The following is an 18,850-nucleotide window of genomic DNA, read 5'->3' on the forward strand; positions in this document are numbered from 1 at the left end:
CTGCCCTGATTCCACCATGAAAACAAAAGCATAGGTCAAAAGTGGGGGCTTGGGGCGGCACCCTGCTCTGCCACCAGGCAAGCTTTAGGAGGGGGCAGTGGTCCAGGATGTCTGGAAAGCCTGTGATGGTACTGGAAGTTTCCAGTTCCACAGCGCAAATCTTGAATTGTAGGGTCCTGTGAGGGGCTTTCCATGCGCTCCTTTTGCATATAGCTCTTGGAGTAAGGTGGATTCTTGAGAACCCTGAGTCTGTCTGCATCTGAAGTTGGAATTCACTAGTTACAGACTAGGGACTGTCTGCATAAGCCCACTTCTGGAAGAAGAGATACGAGAAGCCGCATCCTGGGAATGGGTCCAAATGGGACTCCTGAACAGCACGGCTTCCTTCCTGGCCAGGCAGGAGTCAGTGCTCTTGGCCCAGGGACTGTGCTCAGGGTCTGGCTCAGAGCTAGCATGGGGCCCTACAAAGGCAGGCCACCTCCAGGCCAGGGTCCAGGTCAGGGAAGGCAGGAAGGAGAAAGAGCAAATGGCCACTCCCCTCAGTTCTGCCAGTTTTCTCATCTGTAAAATGGGGATATCCTAGGTGATAGGTAAGATAATGAACAGCCCTTGCCAAAGACAGAGTAGAACACCCCTTTCTTCCAGAGAGCTTTGGGCAGTGGAGTAGGCCCGAGGCCACTGAGCCAAGACGGATAAGCCAGCCCCAGCCCTGGCCCCTCCCCACCTCCGTATCCATGCAGAGTTCACGAGAGCAAAAGGACTTGGCGTGGGGCTGTCCTGAGGCCAGGCCCTGTGCCATGGGATCGCTGGACCCCACCCCCACCTCCTACCCCACTGTAGAGATGCGGGCTTTCTTAGCAGGAGGCTAGAATGAATGCTAATTTTGCAATAAAGCCGTCTGATATTAATTCTCTGAACATAAGAACCCTGCTGAATAACTTGTTCATGCATTTGTAAATACTGATAATGTTGTAAAACCCCTGCTATCTGGCAGTCTATTGAGTGCCTCCTCAGTGTGGAGGTGATCCTGGCCCATCCATATTCATAGCCAATTAGCAATTAGCAGTTCCTGCAAGCCAGTGCTGCCTTTGCATCTCCAACTTGGAGCCTGCTTTGAGCTAAGTTTAAGTTCCTTTTTCAGTCTTTGGGTATCCATAGCGTTTAAGAACCACCTGTCCTCACTCTATAGTATGACTTTAGTATATCACATCAGGGGAACCCTTTGGAGTGTCCTGTGTTGTCTTGAATCAGGGCCATTCAGGAAACCAGCCTCGAGTTCTTGTGCATGCAGGGTGCAAGGGCGCAGTTAAGCACTGAAGAGGCCACCGCAGAGCACGCATGATTCAGGTGCGACCCACATCCTCTGGACAAGTCTCCTCCCAGACTGGGGTGGAGACTGGAAGATGCAGGCTCCAGGAAGTGCCAGGGTCCATTCCAGTGGGGCCCAGTGGAGAGGACCTCAGTTCCATACACAGGAACATGTGTTCCTGCCCAGTTTCTAATTTTGCTACCTCTTAAAGTTGTTTCTTCTACAATGTTAAATTATTGGCAACTGGGGTTGCTCTGTGCAAAGAATTCTAAGCAGTACAGTGTAGACTGAGTGCTTTGGTACCTGAGAGAGGGAAGGTGACCCTTAGTAGGCCACCTGCTCAGCCCCGCACCATGTTGCTGGGGAAGACAGTGACCCCAGCCCCATCAGGCAGGGCCAAGGGCAGAAGTCATCCAGGGACTCTGGCAAGACCCTGAACTTTTTGGTAGAAGGTTCTGATTTGGTAATACTCCTGCTGCACTCAGAGCAGCCCAGTGGAGTCTTTGCCAGGTGGGACCTGGCAAGGCAGAGCTGGAATGAACAGAGCCCTCAAGAGAGGGGGCTAAGGGAGGGAAGGCACTCAAGGGAAGGGGCAGGAGGGAGGGGCGGGAGCAGCAGGTGAGACAGCAGCACTCGCCTCCTGTCCAGCGCATCCTGTCCTGTGCATTATAGGTCTGTGTCAGGAAGGGACTGGTGACTTCTCAGCCCAGTGCCTGTGACTTCAGTCACAGCGTGGTCAGCCCCATTGGAGGGAGGCTTTGCCTTTTTTTATTCTTCAAGAGCTATAAACTGTAAACTGAGACCTGATGGGCCCAGAAACTTTAACTACCATCCTGTAAGAAACTAGGAAGAAAGGAAAGGAAGATGGCACACTGCGGTGGGGTCTCTGAGCAGGAGGATGTGCTTGTTTGTGAGACAGACACTGCAGGGACAGAGAGGCAGACATAGCACCATGCACTGCCTGGAAAGGCAGGGACCCCCTAGGGGTTGAGGATCCTGGGCTGCAGAGGCTGTCTGGTCTCCATGTGCTCTAGCGATTGGGGAAAGCTGCTTTGCCTCACTGATGACCTTTGCTCCCAAGGATAATGGAGTCACCTTCCTGACTGCTCAGAGCTATGGGATGGGCACATGCATGCCAGTAAAAGGCAGAGCTCACTGGGGGCTTAGAAGACACTGGGGCCAGGGGGTTGGTTAGAGCCCTGCATTCCACAGCCGAATCCATCAGTTGAACCCTTGAGGAGCTGCCTGGTGTCGGGTCTCACCTGTGGCCTGGTGAAGCGTCTGCTGCTTGAGCACTCTGCGGCGGTCTCTGTGCATCACCCCAGGCAGGCTTCTGCTGCTGCAGCCTTAGCTGAATCCTGCTCACAGACACACGCTCATGTGTGCTTCTACCCCGGGAGATGGTGGCCTAGAGCCTGAGTCCAGGTGACCCAGGGAGCGAGCAGGAGGGTTTTTCATAGCTCCTGACAATTATATTCCTCGCCATGGGGTCTGAGAGTCGCCGTAGAGATTTCTATGCTCTGGTTAGCAGTGTGCCGGCAGATGGTTTAAGTAAAGCCACAGCAGCTGCTGTAATTCACCCAAAAAAAAAGGTCATAAATATAAACCTGTATCCCAAGGTCATGTTCCATATGTAAACTTGTCATTCAGAATTGAGTTCCAGATATTTTTCTCTCTGTTGTCCAGCTGAGGTATTCTGTGAAGGAGCTGGTAGCTGCAAGTCTCTGACTCATTTTTCCTTTTAGGAAATCCATAAAAATTGACTTCCTGCCCTCTCCCTTCATGATTCATGACCTTAACTCCCTGGGCATTACCATCTCCCAGCTGGCATCAAGAGCAGGGGTGGTGGGGTATTTAGGGTAGTTGCAGTGCTCTCCCGGTGACTGTGGGAGCAAGAGAAGAGAGTCCCGCTCTCCTGAGCAGGTCTGGGCTCCTGGTGCAGTTCACACGTGCAGGAGGCGCCGCAGGCTCTGGGGGAGGGAGGCCTGAGCACCAGTGACATGCTGAGTTCCAGAAGCAGTTGGGGCTTCAGCTGCAACTGAGCAGGAGCCAGGCTGACAGCCTGGGAGATCTCAGCAGAAGCCCCAGCAGATGTGCGGGGAATCGCAGGATTAATGTTGGCAAGGGGAGGAAGGCCCCAGGCAGCTGGTTAGCTAGAGAAAGACAGGGCAGGAGTAGGAGAGAAAATGATGCTTTACATACACATACACATATGCATACGCATGCACGCACACAAATGCAAGTACATAAACATGCTCTACACACATGCCCATGTACACACACATATGCATACATACACATACAAGCCCATTTGGAAGCTTCTCAGAGGCAACGAGAAACCTCAGGCTCCCCATCCTCATCCCCTCCGTGTCAGCAGAAAAATGAGACTTCCATGAACCAAGTGAAATAGAAATGGTTGGTGTGTAAATTCATACCACTGGACAAGCAAGTGGGGAGGTGGTATAGCCCATCCGATGTCTGCCAAGGCAGGGTGATGACGACAATGACCACAATCCTGACAACAATGATGGTTGCCATTTATCCACTTACTTAGAGCTTGACTCTGTCACATGCTGTAGAAGCACTAACTTAATTCCTGCAGTAAAGAATCATTTATCCCCATTCTATGGAAGGGAATCTGAGCCACAGAGTGGCTCACTCATTTGTCCAGGGCCACACAGCTCCTAAAAGACAAAGCCAGGACTCAAACCCAGGTCTGCCCGTCCCCCAACACCACTTTCTCTGATATCAGATACAGCATGGGTTCCCACCTCGCATTCATGCAGGACACCAGGTGAGGCCGCTGCCTCCTTCAGGAAGCAAGGTGGATGGGAGCAGTCATCCCAAGTGGGAGGGAAAGATATGAGATAAGAGGCCAAAACTGTTGGGAATGGAAACATCAGAATATCCTTGGCCCCCCTACGCAGTGGTCCCAGCCAAAGGAAGCAAAGCCACCAGGCTCCACCGCCTGAGACCACTCAGCTGTTGGGAGAAGATGGCAGAAGTACAGGGCTGGGGAGAGAGGGCCTGGATTCAGGCCGTCTCTGCACATCCTGAAGCCTCAGTTCACCTTCCTCTAACTGGGGTTACCATTGCCATGGCTTAAGGGTGGCTGCAAAGACCCAGGGAGGCGATGCCCCAGGACAGCACCTTCTGTCTGATAGCTTTCCAGCAAGAGGCTAAGGCCATATAACAGGAATTCTTTAAAGCCTTTAATTAAAAAGTTAAACATACTTAAAGAACGTAAATGATGCTGAGCTTTGCCCCACTCTCACTTCTTGGAAGCAGCCATTGCTAAGGCATTAGCACATAGCCGTCTCGACTTGCAGCCTTCACCTCCCGTGTGCACACTGCGGGCTGGTTCCCCTGTGCTTCCCATTCTGGGACTCACCTTTCCCCAGGATGACTCTCCTGCTCCTCTCTTCTCCCTCATTCTTTTTCAACAGCTGCAGAGAACTCTAAAAGCACAGAAGGGCCATGATTTATTTGGCCATTCCCTGCTTGGTGAGTATTTGGGTTGTTTCCAGTTTTTCTCCATTGCAGACAAAGCTTCACTAGGCAGCCTCAAACACACACCCCTGCACACACTCCCTGGTGCACACATGCCTTCCTGAGTCTAGATGCCTAGAGGTGGAGGATTGCAGACGAAGAGGGTGGGCACCATTTCATTTCTAAAGTAGGACAAGACAACTGAACATCCCCCCATGCCTCAAGATGGGGGCTCACAGGGCCAGTGACGAGGAAAGGCTCTGTCCCTTCATCACCAACACTTGTGCCTTTCTCTTCCTCTTCAGGTACAAGGTGACCTGCCAAAGCTCAGAGCTGGCCAAGGACATCCTGGTGCCCTCCTTTGACCCTAAGAATAAGCACTGTGTGTTTCAAGGTGACCTCCTGCTCTTCAGCTGTGCAGGCGCCCACCCCAGGCACCAGAGGGTCTGCCCCTGCCGGGACTTCATCAAGGGCCAGGTGGCTCTCTGCAAAGACTGCCTATAGCAGCTACCTGCTCAGCCCTGCACCATGCTGCTGGGGAAGACAGTGGCCCCAGCCCCGTCAGGCAGGGCCAGGGACAGAAGTCATGCAGGGACTCTGGCAAGAGCCTGAACTTTTTCGTAGAAGGTTCTGAATTGGCATTGCCCTTGCTGCACTCCGAGCAACCCAGTGGAGTCTTCACCAAAACAAAACAAGAGCGTATGTCAGGCCAGGAGCCTGGCTTGTCCCTGGCACAACATCATTTCTGTTTCTCAAGGAGCAACTGTGGGAAGACTGTCACTGCAGCTGCTCCAGGGCAAAAGAAAGTCTCAAGAGTCCTTTAAAACAAAACAGGAGGAATTGAGCTGATGGGAAAGAACTCTGAATGGGAATATTCCTAAACCCATTAACTTATTTATTCGGGTGGGAGGGAGGGGACCGCGGGAGGGAGAGGAGGGATTGATCACAGGCTTCTTTTATTTCCACTGTTAATCATCCACCTTCACTATACTGTTGTTCTGTCTGCTTTGGGCAGGGTGCAGGAGAGAGACCGTGTGCCGTGGGGCTGGTGGCCTGCTCAGGGACAGCCATGGGGACCTGGCAGCTCAAAACAGATGGCAGCAGAACAAAAGAAACTTTTGCTTTGGAAGCACAGCCAAACTCCCCAGGGCATCGTCATAGATGGCACCTAGAGCATGGGCTGCCTCAGTCAGGGGGACGTGCCTGTGTTGTCCAGAGAGCCCAGCCAGGGACGAAAAAGGAGATGAGGCCCCTTTCCTCCATGTCCCCATGCCCAGACACATACCTTGGCCGTAATTTCTTTTAGAATCCCTTTGGGAAGGAAATACAGGATTGAGGGATTTTGGAGTTTCTGGTAAACTCACCCTCCCTCCAGCCCCGCTATGAGGAGGAAAGTAGAGATGAAAGACTCACGCTGTTCATGGACTTGGAGAGGATTATCTTTGAGCCAAGATTTGGACAGGAGTGAAGTCGGTCCTTAAGAATTTGTGGCGCGACCGGAGCTGGGCTCCTGACAGGTGGGCTTGTGTTGTGTCCCCTCTGATGGCACCAAAGTCCAGGGAAGGGGGCTCTTGATGTCTGCTGGGGGAGTGGGGGCAGCTCAGGATGAATGCAGTGCCCTGTCCTGGCTACTCACCTGAGGGTGTAGCTCGCAAAGGTGGGAATCTGGTGCTGGCTTTTCCTTCAGGCAGGATCACTCTGACTTGTTGAGTAATCAGTCATCAGGTTGGCCTGGTCAGACACACTGGACCCCACCTTCCAAACCCTGGACCCCCCCATGCTCTGCCTTTGTATAAGTTCCCACCCCACTGAATCATTGCTGCCATGCTCTGTACAAGTTTGTAAGTTTCTGAAAAGCCCCTGACATCTCCATGCTGATGCAAGTGAGACCCCTTCTGCCTAATGTGAGCGGTTGGCGTCCTCCACTTGGCCTCTGCTGGGCGCCTCAGTCGCTCAATGATGTGCTCTGTGCCGGGGCTTCCAAGCACCCTTCCTGCTAACAGAGGGCGGCCCAGTGGAGCCTCCGCTGGGCAGAACTGATGGGCAAGGCGTAATGGCTGGTAGCTTTCAGAATGTGAGGGAAAGGAAGAATTCCGCTTCATGGGGACTAGAGTTAGTGTGGGGCCTTTAAGTCTGGGAAGTTACATTCTGCTTCTTTCTCAATTGCTACACAAATGTGCAGCCAGCCTTTTTTCTTAGGCCCACTGAGATCCCTGCTCAGTGCGTCTCAATTGTATCTCCAGTCTAAGAGGAGGGTGGGGGGCACCCGGGGCCTCCTCCACTCCTTAGGTGGCCCCCAAGCACATCTGCCAGGTAGAGTACCATGGGGAGGCCTCTGCCCTGAGCATCATCACAGGGGCGCCTCCAGACCTGGCTGAGAATAGCCTCTGCTTGGGCCTAGGAAGAAGGGCAGAAGTCCAAAGGAAACCTTGGTGAGTGAGTGTGTGTGTGTGTGTGTGTGTGTGTGTGTGTGTGTGTGTGTGTGTGTATGAGCCTGTGCATTTCTTTTAAGCAAGGGCAGTTTCCTGCAGTAGGAGGGCAGATGACTGGCATCCTTGCTGTAAGGAAGAGCTTTTTCCTTGTGAATGGGCCTCTTGGCTGTACCCTAGGGTGTGGGAATTTGCTAGAGTTCCCTGACCTGCAATCCCTGGGCCAGTGCCGCCCTCTCCTGGGCTCTTCCAGGAGCATTGAACACTGAGGATGTCAATGCAAGTATCTGACCAACAGGGGGAGCCTGCAGGCCGAGCAAAGTTTAACCCACTTAGCCACTGCTACTTAAGCAAGGAAGCTGAAAGGTAACCTTAGCCCTGCCTTGTGTTCCAAAAGCTGCAAGGATCATTTGCTGGCTGTCCCTAAGTTCAAGGCCTCCCTACCTTCCCCTTCTTTTCCAAGTCACAACCCGCCCTGCCCGGGCCAGACAGCCCAGAAGAACACTTTTCTGCCATTTAAAAATCCCTCTTTCATCCCCCCCAGTCCAGTATTGAGTGGAAGTGCGCCGGAGTTCCACTGACAGGGCAGCTGCTCTTGGAGCAAACAAGCCCACACTCCAGTTGTTTAGGGCATTATCTGAAGAGTCAGTGACCCCTGAATGTGTACTGGCTCCCAGGCCTCCTCAGACTTGGCCCAGGTCTAGTCAGTGATCCTGGAGAGGAAACTGGGGAGGGGGCTTCCAACTGCCCTGCATGGAAGAGGAGAGGAAGGTGCCCCTGTGTGGGCTGGAAGCCTGCGGAGGTTTTGCCATTGCTGATCTTGATAGAATCCTAAACCGATTTATAGCTGATAACAGTTCCATGGGGAGAGAAATCCTAAGTTATGATTAATGTTTTTCCCCGCTATAATATCTTGCCTGTTTTTTTGGATTATTTTCCCCATTGTGATCCTAAGCTCTTAAAAAACTTGAGGGAAAACATTCATCTAATTTACTAAAAGAGAAAGCTTTCCATTGAAAGGTAGATACTTTGAGGAGTAAAAAGACTTCTTTGAATGCTGGTAAACACCGCATTTATTTTGTGTATGCAGTTTGATTTGCACATGTATAAATGGAGATGCTTTTCATTTTTGTTTGGACTGGGTTTGTGTCACTGCTCATTACAGTTTGCTTTTTTGTGTGTTTGCTGTGCGTTTGGAGATATTAGTCAGTTTCTTTAGTGATATTTGTTTCCTTGATGTGCCTTTTCGTTTTTCTTTGGGGTTTTTGGAATCCGGATGCTGTTGAAGGGCAATAGCAGACTCCTCCAGCTAAGAGACAGGACATGTTCTTGAGCCACTGTAGCTGTTGAAGCTGGACACCAGACGCTCCCTATAACCCCCCCGCCAGGCCATAGCGTGTATGCATGTGCACTTCCACCCACAGAGGAGGGTGTGAAGCCTTGAGAACCTCAAGAAAGGGCTGGATTCTGCCATACCTTTGGGTCTACCTTGGGACTGCTGGTTGCCAACGTGTCAACCAGCCTGTGTTCCCTGCCACCCACGCACTTGCTGAGGTGTGGCTGAGGCAGAATCATGTGAATGGGTGCATCCAAGGAGTTCAGGGCCCTGCTTGGAGAAGAAATACTTTAGCATCATGAAAGGGAAAGAACGTGCACCCCTTTTTTGTTTCTTTAGTGAATGCAAGATTTAATAAAAGTGAATAATGAGCTTCCCCTTTGGGAGTGGAGCCCAGTGCAGCTCACTGACAGGGTTGACATCAGTATGATGTGTTGGACTGAAACTGTATGTCTGTAGGTAGGTGTGTGCCTTTTAGGGCAGACCACGGTGGCCACCCCATTTCTCCAAGGTGGTTTACCTAGCTTGTGTATATTAGACATTGCCACCCTCACCTCTGGCCAAAAATTCTTGATTTAAAAAGAAAAGTCTATTTTGTTAACGACAGGCTCTGTTGTATGTGTTACTATCCCAAGCCTGGATTATTTTATTTATTTAAAAGTATTTTAATTTCCATATTGGCTTTATTCTAATCCCATCCATCCCTGTGGAGCTGCAGAGCATCTTCATGTGAGTAGACGGATGGACATAAATAGATTCATGCTCATTTAGGAAGCTGGGAGTTTCGTGAAGCTGAGGGTGAGTTCCTGTGATTCTTGTTCGCTTCAACAAAAAGTGGGAGACCAAGTTTTTATAGCAAAAGACCAAATTAGCTGTAGAGTCTTGAATGCAGAAAAAAATTACCCTAGCTTTCTTAGCACTTAGGGTTTTGTGAGGATTCAGTGTTTAGCACAGTGCTTGGCACATAGTAAGCCCTAGTAAATGTTAAATATTGTTATTAGTGTTTCGTAAAACTTGAGAAATAGAGCTGAGCTCATTCCCTTCCTGTTGATTCAAAAATAATACCTACATGAAAACATGATTCCAAGTTGATTGAATGTTGTAGGAATTACTGGTTTAGAGTAGCCCAGTTCTCGGCCTACCCTGCTGGTTGGGATCTTACTGTATTCTTGAATGCACTGGTTTGAAAATATGCCAGACTTCAGCCCCCAAGGAAACAAGGCTGCAAGAATTTATGAACTCCAGCTGGAAAAGGTAAAGGTGACCTTTGGCTAGCCACATACTGGACCTTACCCCACTGACGTCTTTCAGAACATTCCAAGGGTTTTCCTCAAGGAACATTTTTGAGCTAGAAATTAAAATGGGTTCTCTGGCAGACTGCACCCCTTGAGTCAAAGTTAACAGTATTCCTTTGAATGCAATAATAGAGGCTTTTCTGCGTTAAGGGAGAAGGAATGACCAATTGAACTTACACATTCCCCAGGCAGGTCCCTTTGCCGGCCCCTACAGGCTGGGGTGGCCCCTCCTGTCCTCAGGGATCAGACTCCCAGACTGGTTAGTTCTGCATGTTTCCATCAAATTAAAGGTTATTCCCTGGCCGCCTCCTGGAGAAAACCAACCCCACCCTGCCAGCTGGGGGCAATGGGGCAGGGATTTTGGCCTCTCAGAACAGCTCCTAGAGGCTGCTCATGACTGAATGTTTTCCCAAATCACCTAAATATCGGTTTGCTTTTTGTTTTGGGGGAGAGGATTTAGCCTCTTACTTCCCTGATGGATTCAAAGTTTTATCTATCTCCTTATCTCCTGCCCTGTCTTGGCACAACTCTGGATAGATTGCAGGTGTGGAATTTGCTGGAGTTTGGTGACTTCGTCAAATTCCTTTGGATTCTGTTCCGCCAAATCAGCAGTCTCGTCCTGTGGATGCAGTGACTGGAATTTCCCATCTGCAAAGCATCTCTGTAGCCCAGATTTTGTGGAGCCTTAAGACACTCCCTCAATGCCACCCTGACCCCACGGCTGGAGAACCCTGTGCTTATGTGGTGGGCAGGGCCACTGTTGATGGAGGATGGCGGGGACGGGGTGGTGCTCAAAGGATCTGTGGTGCTGGAGGTCTACACGCCTCTCAGGACAGCGTGTCAGGAACCTCAGAGCAGCTTCACATCTGCCAAAGCTGAGAGGGAGCGAACTTGGGAAGCATTTTGCTCATTGTCCTACCCAAGTATTAATAGCATAATAGTTGATGCCAAAGGAGATGGTGACGTCCCTTCCACTGTAGTTGCTGTCACAACCTTGACGTCTTTAAGCTAATGGCCGTTTGCATCTGTGTCTTCAAACAGATCCTGGTTACAGCCATTTTGTGTGATTCACTTCGGGGGTTAAGTAATGCAGGATTCTGCAAACAAGGTGTCGCCGTCCAAATGTACTGTCCTGGCATAGAGAGCACTGCTTTGTTTTCCACTGTTGTAGAGAAAACTAGGGAGAACTTTATTTTTCAATAAACTTTTCTTGTGTGACAGGTGGAAGTGATTTTTGGGGGGGCGGGTGCATGCAGGGTCACCTCCAGAACAAAGCTGAGCTGCTGTCTAGGCGCGTCCCCAGCACACAGCTTCCCCCAGCTGTATTTCACGGTTTGCAGCACACTGTTGAAACGGCTGGTAGGAAGACAGGAAGGTATACTTAAGGAGTGGAGAGGGGAAGGTTTTACTACTGTGTATTCCTTCCCTTATATCACATCCACCACTACTCATGTTAGCGCACTCTCCTTGTGCTGCCTTCCCCTAGAAGGAAATTCAATTAGAAAGTGAACTGCTAGATTTTGAGAAAAATCTTTAAGAATGAGCTAATAAAAATAGCTCTATAAGGGGCTGAGCACCAGCGACCATTGGACCTAGAATAGATTTCTCCCTTTCAAGAGCAGCTTTTGAGCCAGGAAGCAGTGAGCCATGAGCAGCTGGTTAGGCAAATGCCCTGGAGACAGGGAAGGTTAGTCCATGCCCCACCCAACAGTTTGTCTGCAGATGACACTGGCCCTCATCTGCATGGCCTCTCTGAAGCTGGCGGGCCTCCTGGCTACGGCCCAAAATGGACACCCCACACAGTTCACAGAGCATGTTAGAACACAAGGGAAAGCCGAGTGCCTACATTTGGGCAACGCTACCAGTGTCACTTCCCCTCCCTGAGCTTCCATGATGTATATTAGACACAACGAGAAAACCAGCAGAAGAGAAACCTACAGGCTCCTACACTTCCCAATCTTTTTTTTCTTTAGTTCATGTTGTTACATATTAACATCCCTTGACGTATTCCTCAGTACTGCTGGGGAAGCAACCTGAAAGCATGGTACTGGACCAAGTTTCCATGACCTCACAGAACAAACTCCCTTCACTGGCGTGGAGGGGAGACAGGGCCCCAAAGCTGCAGCAAGGCCATGGAGCAGCTGTCCCTCGGTGCCAGGTGAGTGTGTGGCCCCTACCTGAGTGGTCAGAGAGGGCGGCCTGCACCACAGTCCTTCAGGGTCTCCACGTTCAGCACCCCTAGGCACAAGCTTCCCCTCCCAGGTCATCCTTCAGCCACAGCGGAAAACCTGCCCATGACGGGTCTCCCCATGTGTTGGTGCCGCACGGTGACGACTGCCAAAGATTGCCTTCCCATGCCATACAAAACAGGTAAAGGTCTTTATTGGTCAGCCACTACTGCCCGGGCAAGCAGTGGTGTGAGAGGTACAGAACGGTGCGGGTTGGGGAACACTCTACAGAATCTAAACCTACCGTGACATCAGCTGAGAACGTCTTGTTCCTTACAGAGGGAGCGATCCATCTCTCACAGACTGTAATGTACCCATTACCACTTAACACAGCATATAGATATATGCATATACGGATAGATTATATTTATTTATTACAAATAAACTGTAGTTTCACATCTCTCAAAAATGGACCCAGTTTTCACATGGATGTTCAGGTTCTGAATGTACAAGAAAAGGTCAATGTGCTTATTTAATTCGTCCATGCAAAGCTTATACGTGTATCACTAAGTACTTTAAAAAATAGAATGGTCTCCTTTTGAGCAAATCTGTTTAGACTTAGGATTAGTAAAACAGTATGAAATAATGAGATACACTGATAGAAATTAGGAAGTGACATACTGATGATTCTGGGTATGTAAAGGGTGAGGGGTACAATCTTCCCTTAAGACCTGCCAGGAAAGGAGAGACTTGGAACCAGGAGTGGCAGGGCCACCCAAGCTGGAGGAGGTGGGTCTGCTCAGTCCTATGCAGCGCAGGCTCAGAGCACCACCGAAGACCTTTCTGCCAAAGATCTCATCCTACCCATGAGAACCATCATACTCCAGAGACTAAAAAACGCCAGTCCCAGCTGGAGACGGGGAAGGAGGTCCATTCCTATGGGCATTGTCCCAACATGTTTGATGGGGGCGGCAGGTGATGGGGGCAAGGTAGATCCACCTGGCTGGGCAGACCTTGTCTTGTAATGACAAACCATGTGAAAGAAAACTTCCAAAAAGAAACCAGATGTTCAGTTAAATATTGGCACCCTTTGCCTATGTGGAAACTCCTCATCTCGATGGTCTCATGCGGATGCTGGCCCCCTTCACTCAAACATCTCGTAGTGACGTGTCTGCCTCACCCTCGGCACCATGTCGATGAGGAGTCTGCAAAGACGAAGACAGACAAGGTCACCTCCATGGCATGGGGCTGAAGAGCTTGGGGAAGCGTATTTTCATTTTTTTTTTCCTGAGATAATTCACATACCATAAAATTCACCCTATGTGGCTCGGTGGTTTTTAGTATATTCATCCATTTGTGTTATCTCAGAAACCCCATGTCCACTGTACCATTCACTCCCCATCCTCCCCACGCCTGACGAGAAGTACCCTCCTTCTGGCCTCTATGGATTTGCCTATTGATATTTTATATAAACAAAATCACATAACGTGGCCTTTTGTGACTTCCTTCATAATATTTGAGGTCCATCTATGTTGGAGCGAGTATTAGCACTTCATTCCTTTTTGGGGGCTGAATAAGTGTCCACTGCACAGATCTACCACATTTATCCATTCATCTGTTAATGGACAATTGTGTTGCTTCTGCGTTTTGCCTATTGTGAATAACTCTGCTGTGAATTTCACAGACAACTTTCAGTGTGGAGGTTTGTTTCCATCCTCCCGCAGTGTATACCAAGGACTGGAAGTGCTGGGGCGAATGGTAACTCTGCGTCCATGGCAGCACCATCGTCCATTCCCACAGCCATGGATGAGGGTTCCACTTTCGCCACGTCCTCACTGACGCTGGCAGTTGTCCCTCTTTTTGATGATAGCCATCCTACCTTTCCTTGAGAATGGAAGCATTTTAACATTTAAAAGCAGAGCACCCTTTAGAAATGGTTCTCTGAAAGGCCAGCTCCAGCCTGGGTGCTGAAGTCCATGTCAGTGATGCCAGCACGGCCTTTCTGCACTGACTAGTCCCCTTTTGCAAGAAGTTCTCTAAGGCTAGGGATGCGGCCTCTGGCCAGCACACTGTTGCATCCCCCATTTGTGGCAGGAGGGGCTCCACTTGTGAGGAAACCACGCAAAGGTGCTTCCCTGGGGCATCATGAAGACTGTCAGAGAGGAAGGAGCATAGATGTCAGGACACGAAGGGTCCTAAAGGCATCAGATGGAAATCAAGGAGTGCCTTTGTGGCTTAAAGGCCTGATACCTCTTGTCCCTGCCTCACTTCTGTGCCAGCCCCAAGGATATCTGACCCCTGCTGGGTGCTTTTCCAGTCACCTGACACTGGTCAGGCTCAGGAGGGGCACAGGTACAAAATATGACCTTCAGAAGCCTGTCATTTCCTGACTGGGGAAGGCGGTGGAAAAGGGACACTCCTAGCTGCCAGGAAAGCAAACAGGAAAGCACAAGAACCTACTTGACCCCATAGGCAAATATGGTGAGGCCGATCAGAACGCCTATGCTGCCGTCCAGGTACCAGACCGCCGAGTCATGCTTGAACACTTCCGCGCTCAGAAGAATGGAGAAGCCCATCACGCCACCCACGAGGGAGTTAAACCCTGCAAAGGAAGTGGAGAGAGGCTAGATGGCAGTGCCAAGCAATCCAAGAAAATCACCCAAATGCCAGTCCTGCCTCCACGTAACTGGAGCATGTGCTGGGAGGAATGATGCCCAAAGCTCTCACGAGTGATAGCCACCACCTGGGCCCATCAAGTCTCTGCTCAAATGTCACCAGATACCTCCCAGAATAGAGCCGTCACCCCCACCATCATTCTGTACCTGCTTTATTTCTCTTCTGGGAACTGACGCCATATGTGGTTTATAGCTGGTCTCGCCCGTGCCCGCTAGAACGCAAACCTCCTAGAGGCAGGGGTGTGGTTTTCTGTTGAGTCCACAGTCCCCAGGACAGTTCCAGGCTCACAGTAGACATTCAAATACTTGGGGACTCATATCTGAGTGTCTGCTGGGCCAGATTCCGAGTTGGGTGTTCAGGACGTGTGGTTACCTATAACCTTTCTCAATCGTGTGACGTCACATTATCATCATCATCCCTGCTTTCCGATGAGAAAACTAAGAATGAGGTTAAATACATTGATGGAGGTTATCCAGATTGAGAAGGGCATTCTATCCCAACCTGCATCCTTTCCCTCCCGAGTCTCCTCTAAGTAACCTGAGGTTTTTTCCTTTCCCTCCAGAAGAGAAATGTAAAGTCTATTATGCTAAGTTTTTTGCAAAGTATTGGCTACATGGTTGGAGAAATGGCCATAAAAACAGAACTGGAGCTACTAGATAGTGACTGCCATCTCCTTTCACACAGCAGCCCACTGGGGCTCCCAGCTTACATGTGATACTTCTACTTTACCAGAGCTGTCAAAGGCCACATGGGAAGGGAAGGGAATGGCTTAAGGTAGCTTCTAGGGTCTCCCCGCGAAGGACACCAGCTCCTCCCCTGCCCCAACACACTGGTGGCCCCAAGAGAAGCTCCAGGTCCACGCTGCCCAAGGAGGCCCTGCTGGTAGGTTTGTGCAGGCCCGTAACCTCCCACGCCAGGCCTGGCTTCCCCTGGGGCAGAGGAAGATTGCCAGGCAGGGATGACCTGAGCAAATCTACTCAGGATCCAAGGCAGGGATGCAATGGCCGCTCACAGGAATGGAAGATGAACCGCGGACCTGCAAGGGCACCCCAGGGACTGGCCTGGACCCTACAACGCACTTGGTGGCACGCCCTTCTCTCCCCTGTGCTCAGGACACCGAGGTTTGGTCGAGGATACCTCATATTCCCCACACCACATCCACCACCCACCTGTAACTGTTCCTGTAACAGGAACAAGGGCTGGTTCTTGCGATGTTCCTCCCTCCCTCCTTCCCAGATTGGATTGGATTGCTCCTACTGGGATTAACCCACCTTCCCATCCCCAGTGAACTCTTCTTCCACCCCACGCCTCCCCCATCTGCTACTGGCCTTCACAAAACCCGCAGAAGAGTCTGCCTGCTGCCTCCACACTCACACCCCCCTTCTGCCCGGGTTCCCTCCTCCCCCAGCCCTTCCCAAAGTCAAAGTCATCCTCATCCTGCTACCTGCAGTGGTGACAGGCCCCCTTTTGGTGGGGGTCAATCCCTAGCCCCACACCCCCCTCCCCAGGCTCCTCCTGTCCCCTTTGCTGGGTCCTCCCCTGCATCCCCACCTGAGTGTCCCAGGCTCTGTCCTCTGAGCTGGCCCTCTGCCAATCCATGAGCCCTGCTCCCCTCAATTCCCAGCTTTTGTCCTGACCTTTGACCTCAGGCACAGGCTCCTCATGGAAGCATCTCAGACTGACCACAGCCATGACAAAGCCCTGAGCGCCACCTCGCCCTCCGCTGCATGCTCCGTAGATGGGGCCACCAGCTGCAGAGGCCAAGATTCTAGGAGCCCATCTTCCCTTACACCACCAACCTGCCCCTCGAGCCCCTTGCCAGATGTTACCCCCCCCCAAATTCATTCTCACTCTCCCCGCTGATCCCTGCTCTGTCCTGGCCACCTGTGGCCCTCCCTGTACCCCGCCACAGCCAGAGGGACCCTCTGTCGGTGAGCAGCAGCCAGACTCTCCCGCAGGAAAGCCCCCGTCACGGGCTCAAATCCCACCAGACCCCTCACATCCAGCCACACAACCCTGCAACAGCCATCCTGCCCTCCCCTCAGGGCCACTGGGCTTGTCACCATCACCCAGGGCCTCCCTCCCAGCCCTGTCCTCAGCCCTCAGCCCCTAAACTTCCTCCCCTCCACCCACCACTCCCTCCTGCCTCCAGCTAACAGGCGAGCTTTGCCATTTTAACCGCCCCCCTCCTCTCACTGGAAACCTAAGCTTAAGGACAGGAACTTTGTCTCTCCTTGCAGTATTCGAAGTCCCAGGACAGGGCCTGGCATTCATCAGGGGTGCAAATGACCGCTGCATTAACAAGTGACCACACGAAGGAGGAAGTAGGCAGGCAGGCATGGGCCCAGCCTGAGCGCCACCCCTGCCTGGCTCCCGCAGACAGTCACCCCAGGAGAAGCAAGCCCAAGCCAGGTGCTGCTCAGAAAAGAGGCAAAAGCGTGAGGTTCCCCAGACAGCCACTAGATGTCTGCTCAGCTCCACCAAGTCACCCGCTCTGCCAGCCAGCACCAAGGCCGGCCCAGCTTGCTATTCCTGACAGCAGGTCCACCAGGTGTTCCCCGACACCCCACAGCTGAGAGGCTGGTGGCAGGGGCACATGTTTGCTGCTTCTTCTAGGAGGAGACTCTGCCTTGCCTGGCTCGGCTCACCTTTTGTGATGACAGAGCCTGACTCATTTCAGCTTCACTTCTTGAGAGTCTGCCTGAGGATGCTGGATCAAGCACACAGGGACTAGGGACCGAGTCAGTGGCCACCTGCCACTTTGCTCCAAATGTCAGGGCCTTCCCAATCCGTCATTCCACATGAAGAGCCCTGAGCCCCCAGCCCAGCAGGCAGGCCCTGCCGTCACTCCCCTCTGCAGTGCCAGCCCCACGAGCTTGGCCCTGTCCCCACAGTTGCAACCACAGATCCGCTCTAACACAGAAATGTTATCAGTTTAGGAGCATACAATGGCACAAAATGATGGCTGAGGCCATCCTGATTACAGCTCCACCAGTCTGGCTTTGCCAACTGGATCAGGATCTGTGTAGTTAAAAACATTCATTGTATGCAGAATATTCTAATTTAAAAGTTTCTTGTGTGCTTGAAAGATCATCATAGATGGGGTATTTGAGAACTGGATATGAGCAGGAGAAAACAGCAGGCTCCTGTTTCAGAGGGGCTTCTAGATTTGCCCCAGCTGTTCCTGTAGGACTGAAGCTGTGCCCCTCGTCCAGAGCGCTCCCCCAGTGCTCTCTCATGCTCTTCCTCTGATTTGTAGTGTGTGTTTGTTGTACAAAATCACATTACCCTAGTACAAAGCAAGCTTCAGCCCAGTCCCAATAGCAACAAACCCATGATGACAACACATCCAAAGCCACAAACCAGATCAGACCAGATTCACTGCACCGCACAGGGTGAAGTGGGGAAGTCTGGAATTTCCCCATCATCTCCATCGGCCACACCCTGCTGTCCCTTTCCCTGAAGATCTGCCTCCCAGCTGTAAGGACACCCCAGCGACAAGTGAGCTGGCAGCATCAGCCTGGCCCACTTCAGCCTGGCTCCGGGTTGGGACCCAGTTGACAGGGGAAGCCGGCCCTCTCCCACAAAGGGGATGCTTGGCTCTGCCACAGCCTGGCTGGCAGCCTCAGGGAACCCCCAACGTTCATGACAGCCATGGCTCCCTGAGCCCATCCTGCCCGCCCACCTTCCAAAGTGAGGAAAGAACAGAGAAGATAATTATAGATCGCTCCCTAGTTCTGCTAATCAATGAATGTAAGAAGCCCAGATCCCAGATAGTACAATTAGCAGGAGGCTGTAATTACTGCTGCATGTTTTGCCGGCAACACACCCACCTAGCAGGGGATCGAAGGGCCACAGAGCACAGGGCCCCCTGGGAACAGGCTCGGGGGCGGGGGGCATTGCCTCTGCTCTCTGTCTCTCTCTCTCATTAAACCCACTCAGCCGATTCATCCCCACGCTGACCATTCTATACCTACCCTACCACTTCCCATACCCTCTCCTTCACCCTATCCGAGCTGCCATCCCCTCCACTCCCCAGGCCTCCCTCTGCTCAGCTCCCAGCTCCCTCGACTCTGCTCCCCACCACCAATGACCAGAGGGCTCTGCAGAAAACAGCACTCATGTCACCCTACCTGTTTCAACATTTG

The 18,850-nt window shown here is 51.5% G+C and overlaps 2 protein-coding genes across 22 annotated transcripts in view, besides 3 other annotated features; one reads left to right on the plus strand and one right to left on the minus strand.

The window, feature by feature from the left end:
- The window catches only part of MGAT5 (alpha-1,6-mannosylglycoprotein 6-beta-N-acetylglucosaminyltransferase), a 334,687-nt gene extending 323,611 nt beyond the window's left edge, over window positions 1–11,076 (plus strand). For all 21 annotated transcript variants that reach the window (XM_006712534.4, XM_047444397.1, XM_047444400.1 and 18 more), the window contains one exon: window positions 5,104–11,076. In XM_006712534.4, coding sequence (XP_006712597.1) covers window positions 5,104–5,302 — 199 coding nt within the window. In that variant the 3' untranslated portion in view covers window positions 5,303–11,076. The remainder of the gene's footprint in view (window positions 1–5,103) is intronic.
- Window positions 176–676: an enhancer, noted in NCBI's record as "H3K4me1 hESC enhancer chr2:135201292-135201792 (GRCh37/hg19 assembly coordinates)". NCBI's record gives its function as "activates a minimal SCP1, AML or CMV promoter by ChIP-STARR-seq in naive H9 embryonic stem cells {active_cell/tissue: H9 hESC(naive)}" and the evidence as "EXISTENCE:reporter gene assay evidence [ECO:0000049][PMID:30033119]".
- Window positions 12,214–18,850, minus strand: part of TMEM163 (transmembrane protein 163) — a 263,242-nt gene continuing 256,605 nt past the window's right edge. The window contains exons 7-8 of the mRNA NM_030923.5: window positions 14,487–14,628; window positions 12,214–13,231 (exon numbers count right to left, since the gene is read on the minus strand). Coding sequence (NP_112185.1) covers window positions 13,171–13,231; window positions 14,487–14,628 — 203 coding nt within the window. The 3' untranslated portion in view covers window positions 12,214–13,170. The remainder of the gene's footprint in view (window positions 13,232–14,486; window positions 14,629–18,850) is intronic.
- Window positions 16,695–17,196: an enhancer, noted in NCBI's record as "H3K4me1 hESC enhancer chr2:135217811-135218312 (GRCh37/hg19 assembly coordinates)". NCBI's record gives its function as "activates a minimal SCP1, AML or CMV promoter by ChIP-STARR-seq in primed H9 embryonic stem cells {active_cell/tissue: H9 hESC(primed)}" and the evidence as "EXISTENCE:reporter gene assay evidence [ECO:0000049][PMID:30033119]".
- Window positions 17,197–17,696: an enhancer, noted in NCBI's record as "H3K4me1 hESC enhancer chr2:135218313-135218812 (GRCh37/hg19 assembly coordinates)". NCBI's record gives its function as "activates a minimal SCP1, AML or CMV promoter by ChIP-STARR-seq in primed H9 embryonic stem cells {active_cell/tissue: H9 hESC(primed)}" and the evidence as "EXISTENCE:reporter gene assay evidence [ECO:0000049][PMID:30033119]".

Source organism: Homo sapiens, chromosome 2, assembly GCF_000001405.40.
Source record: "Homo sapiens chromosome 2, GRCh38.p14 Primary Assembly".
Taxonomy (NCBI): Eukaryota; Metazoa; Chordata; class Mammalia; order Primates; family Hominidae; genus Homo; species Homo sapiens.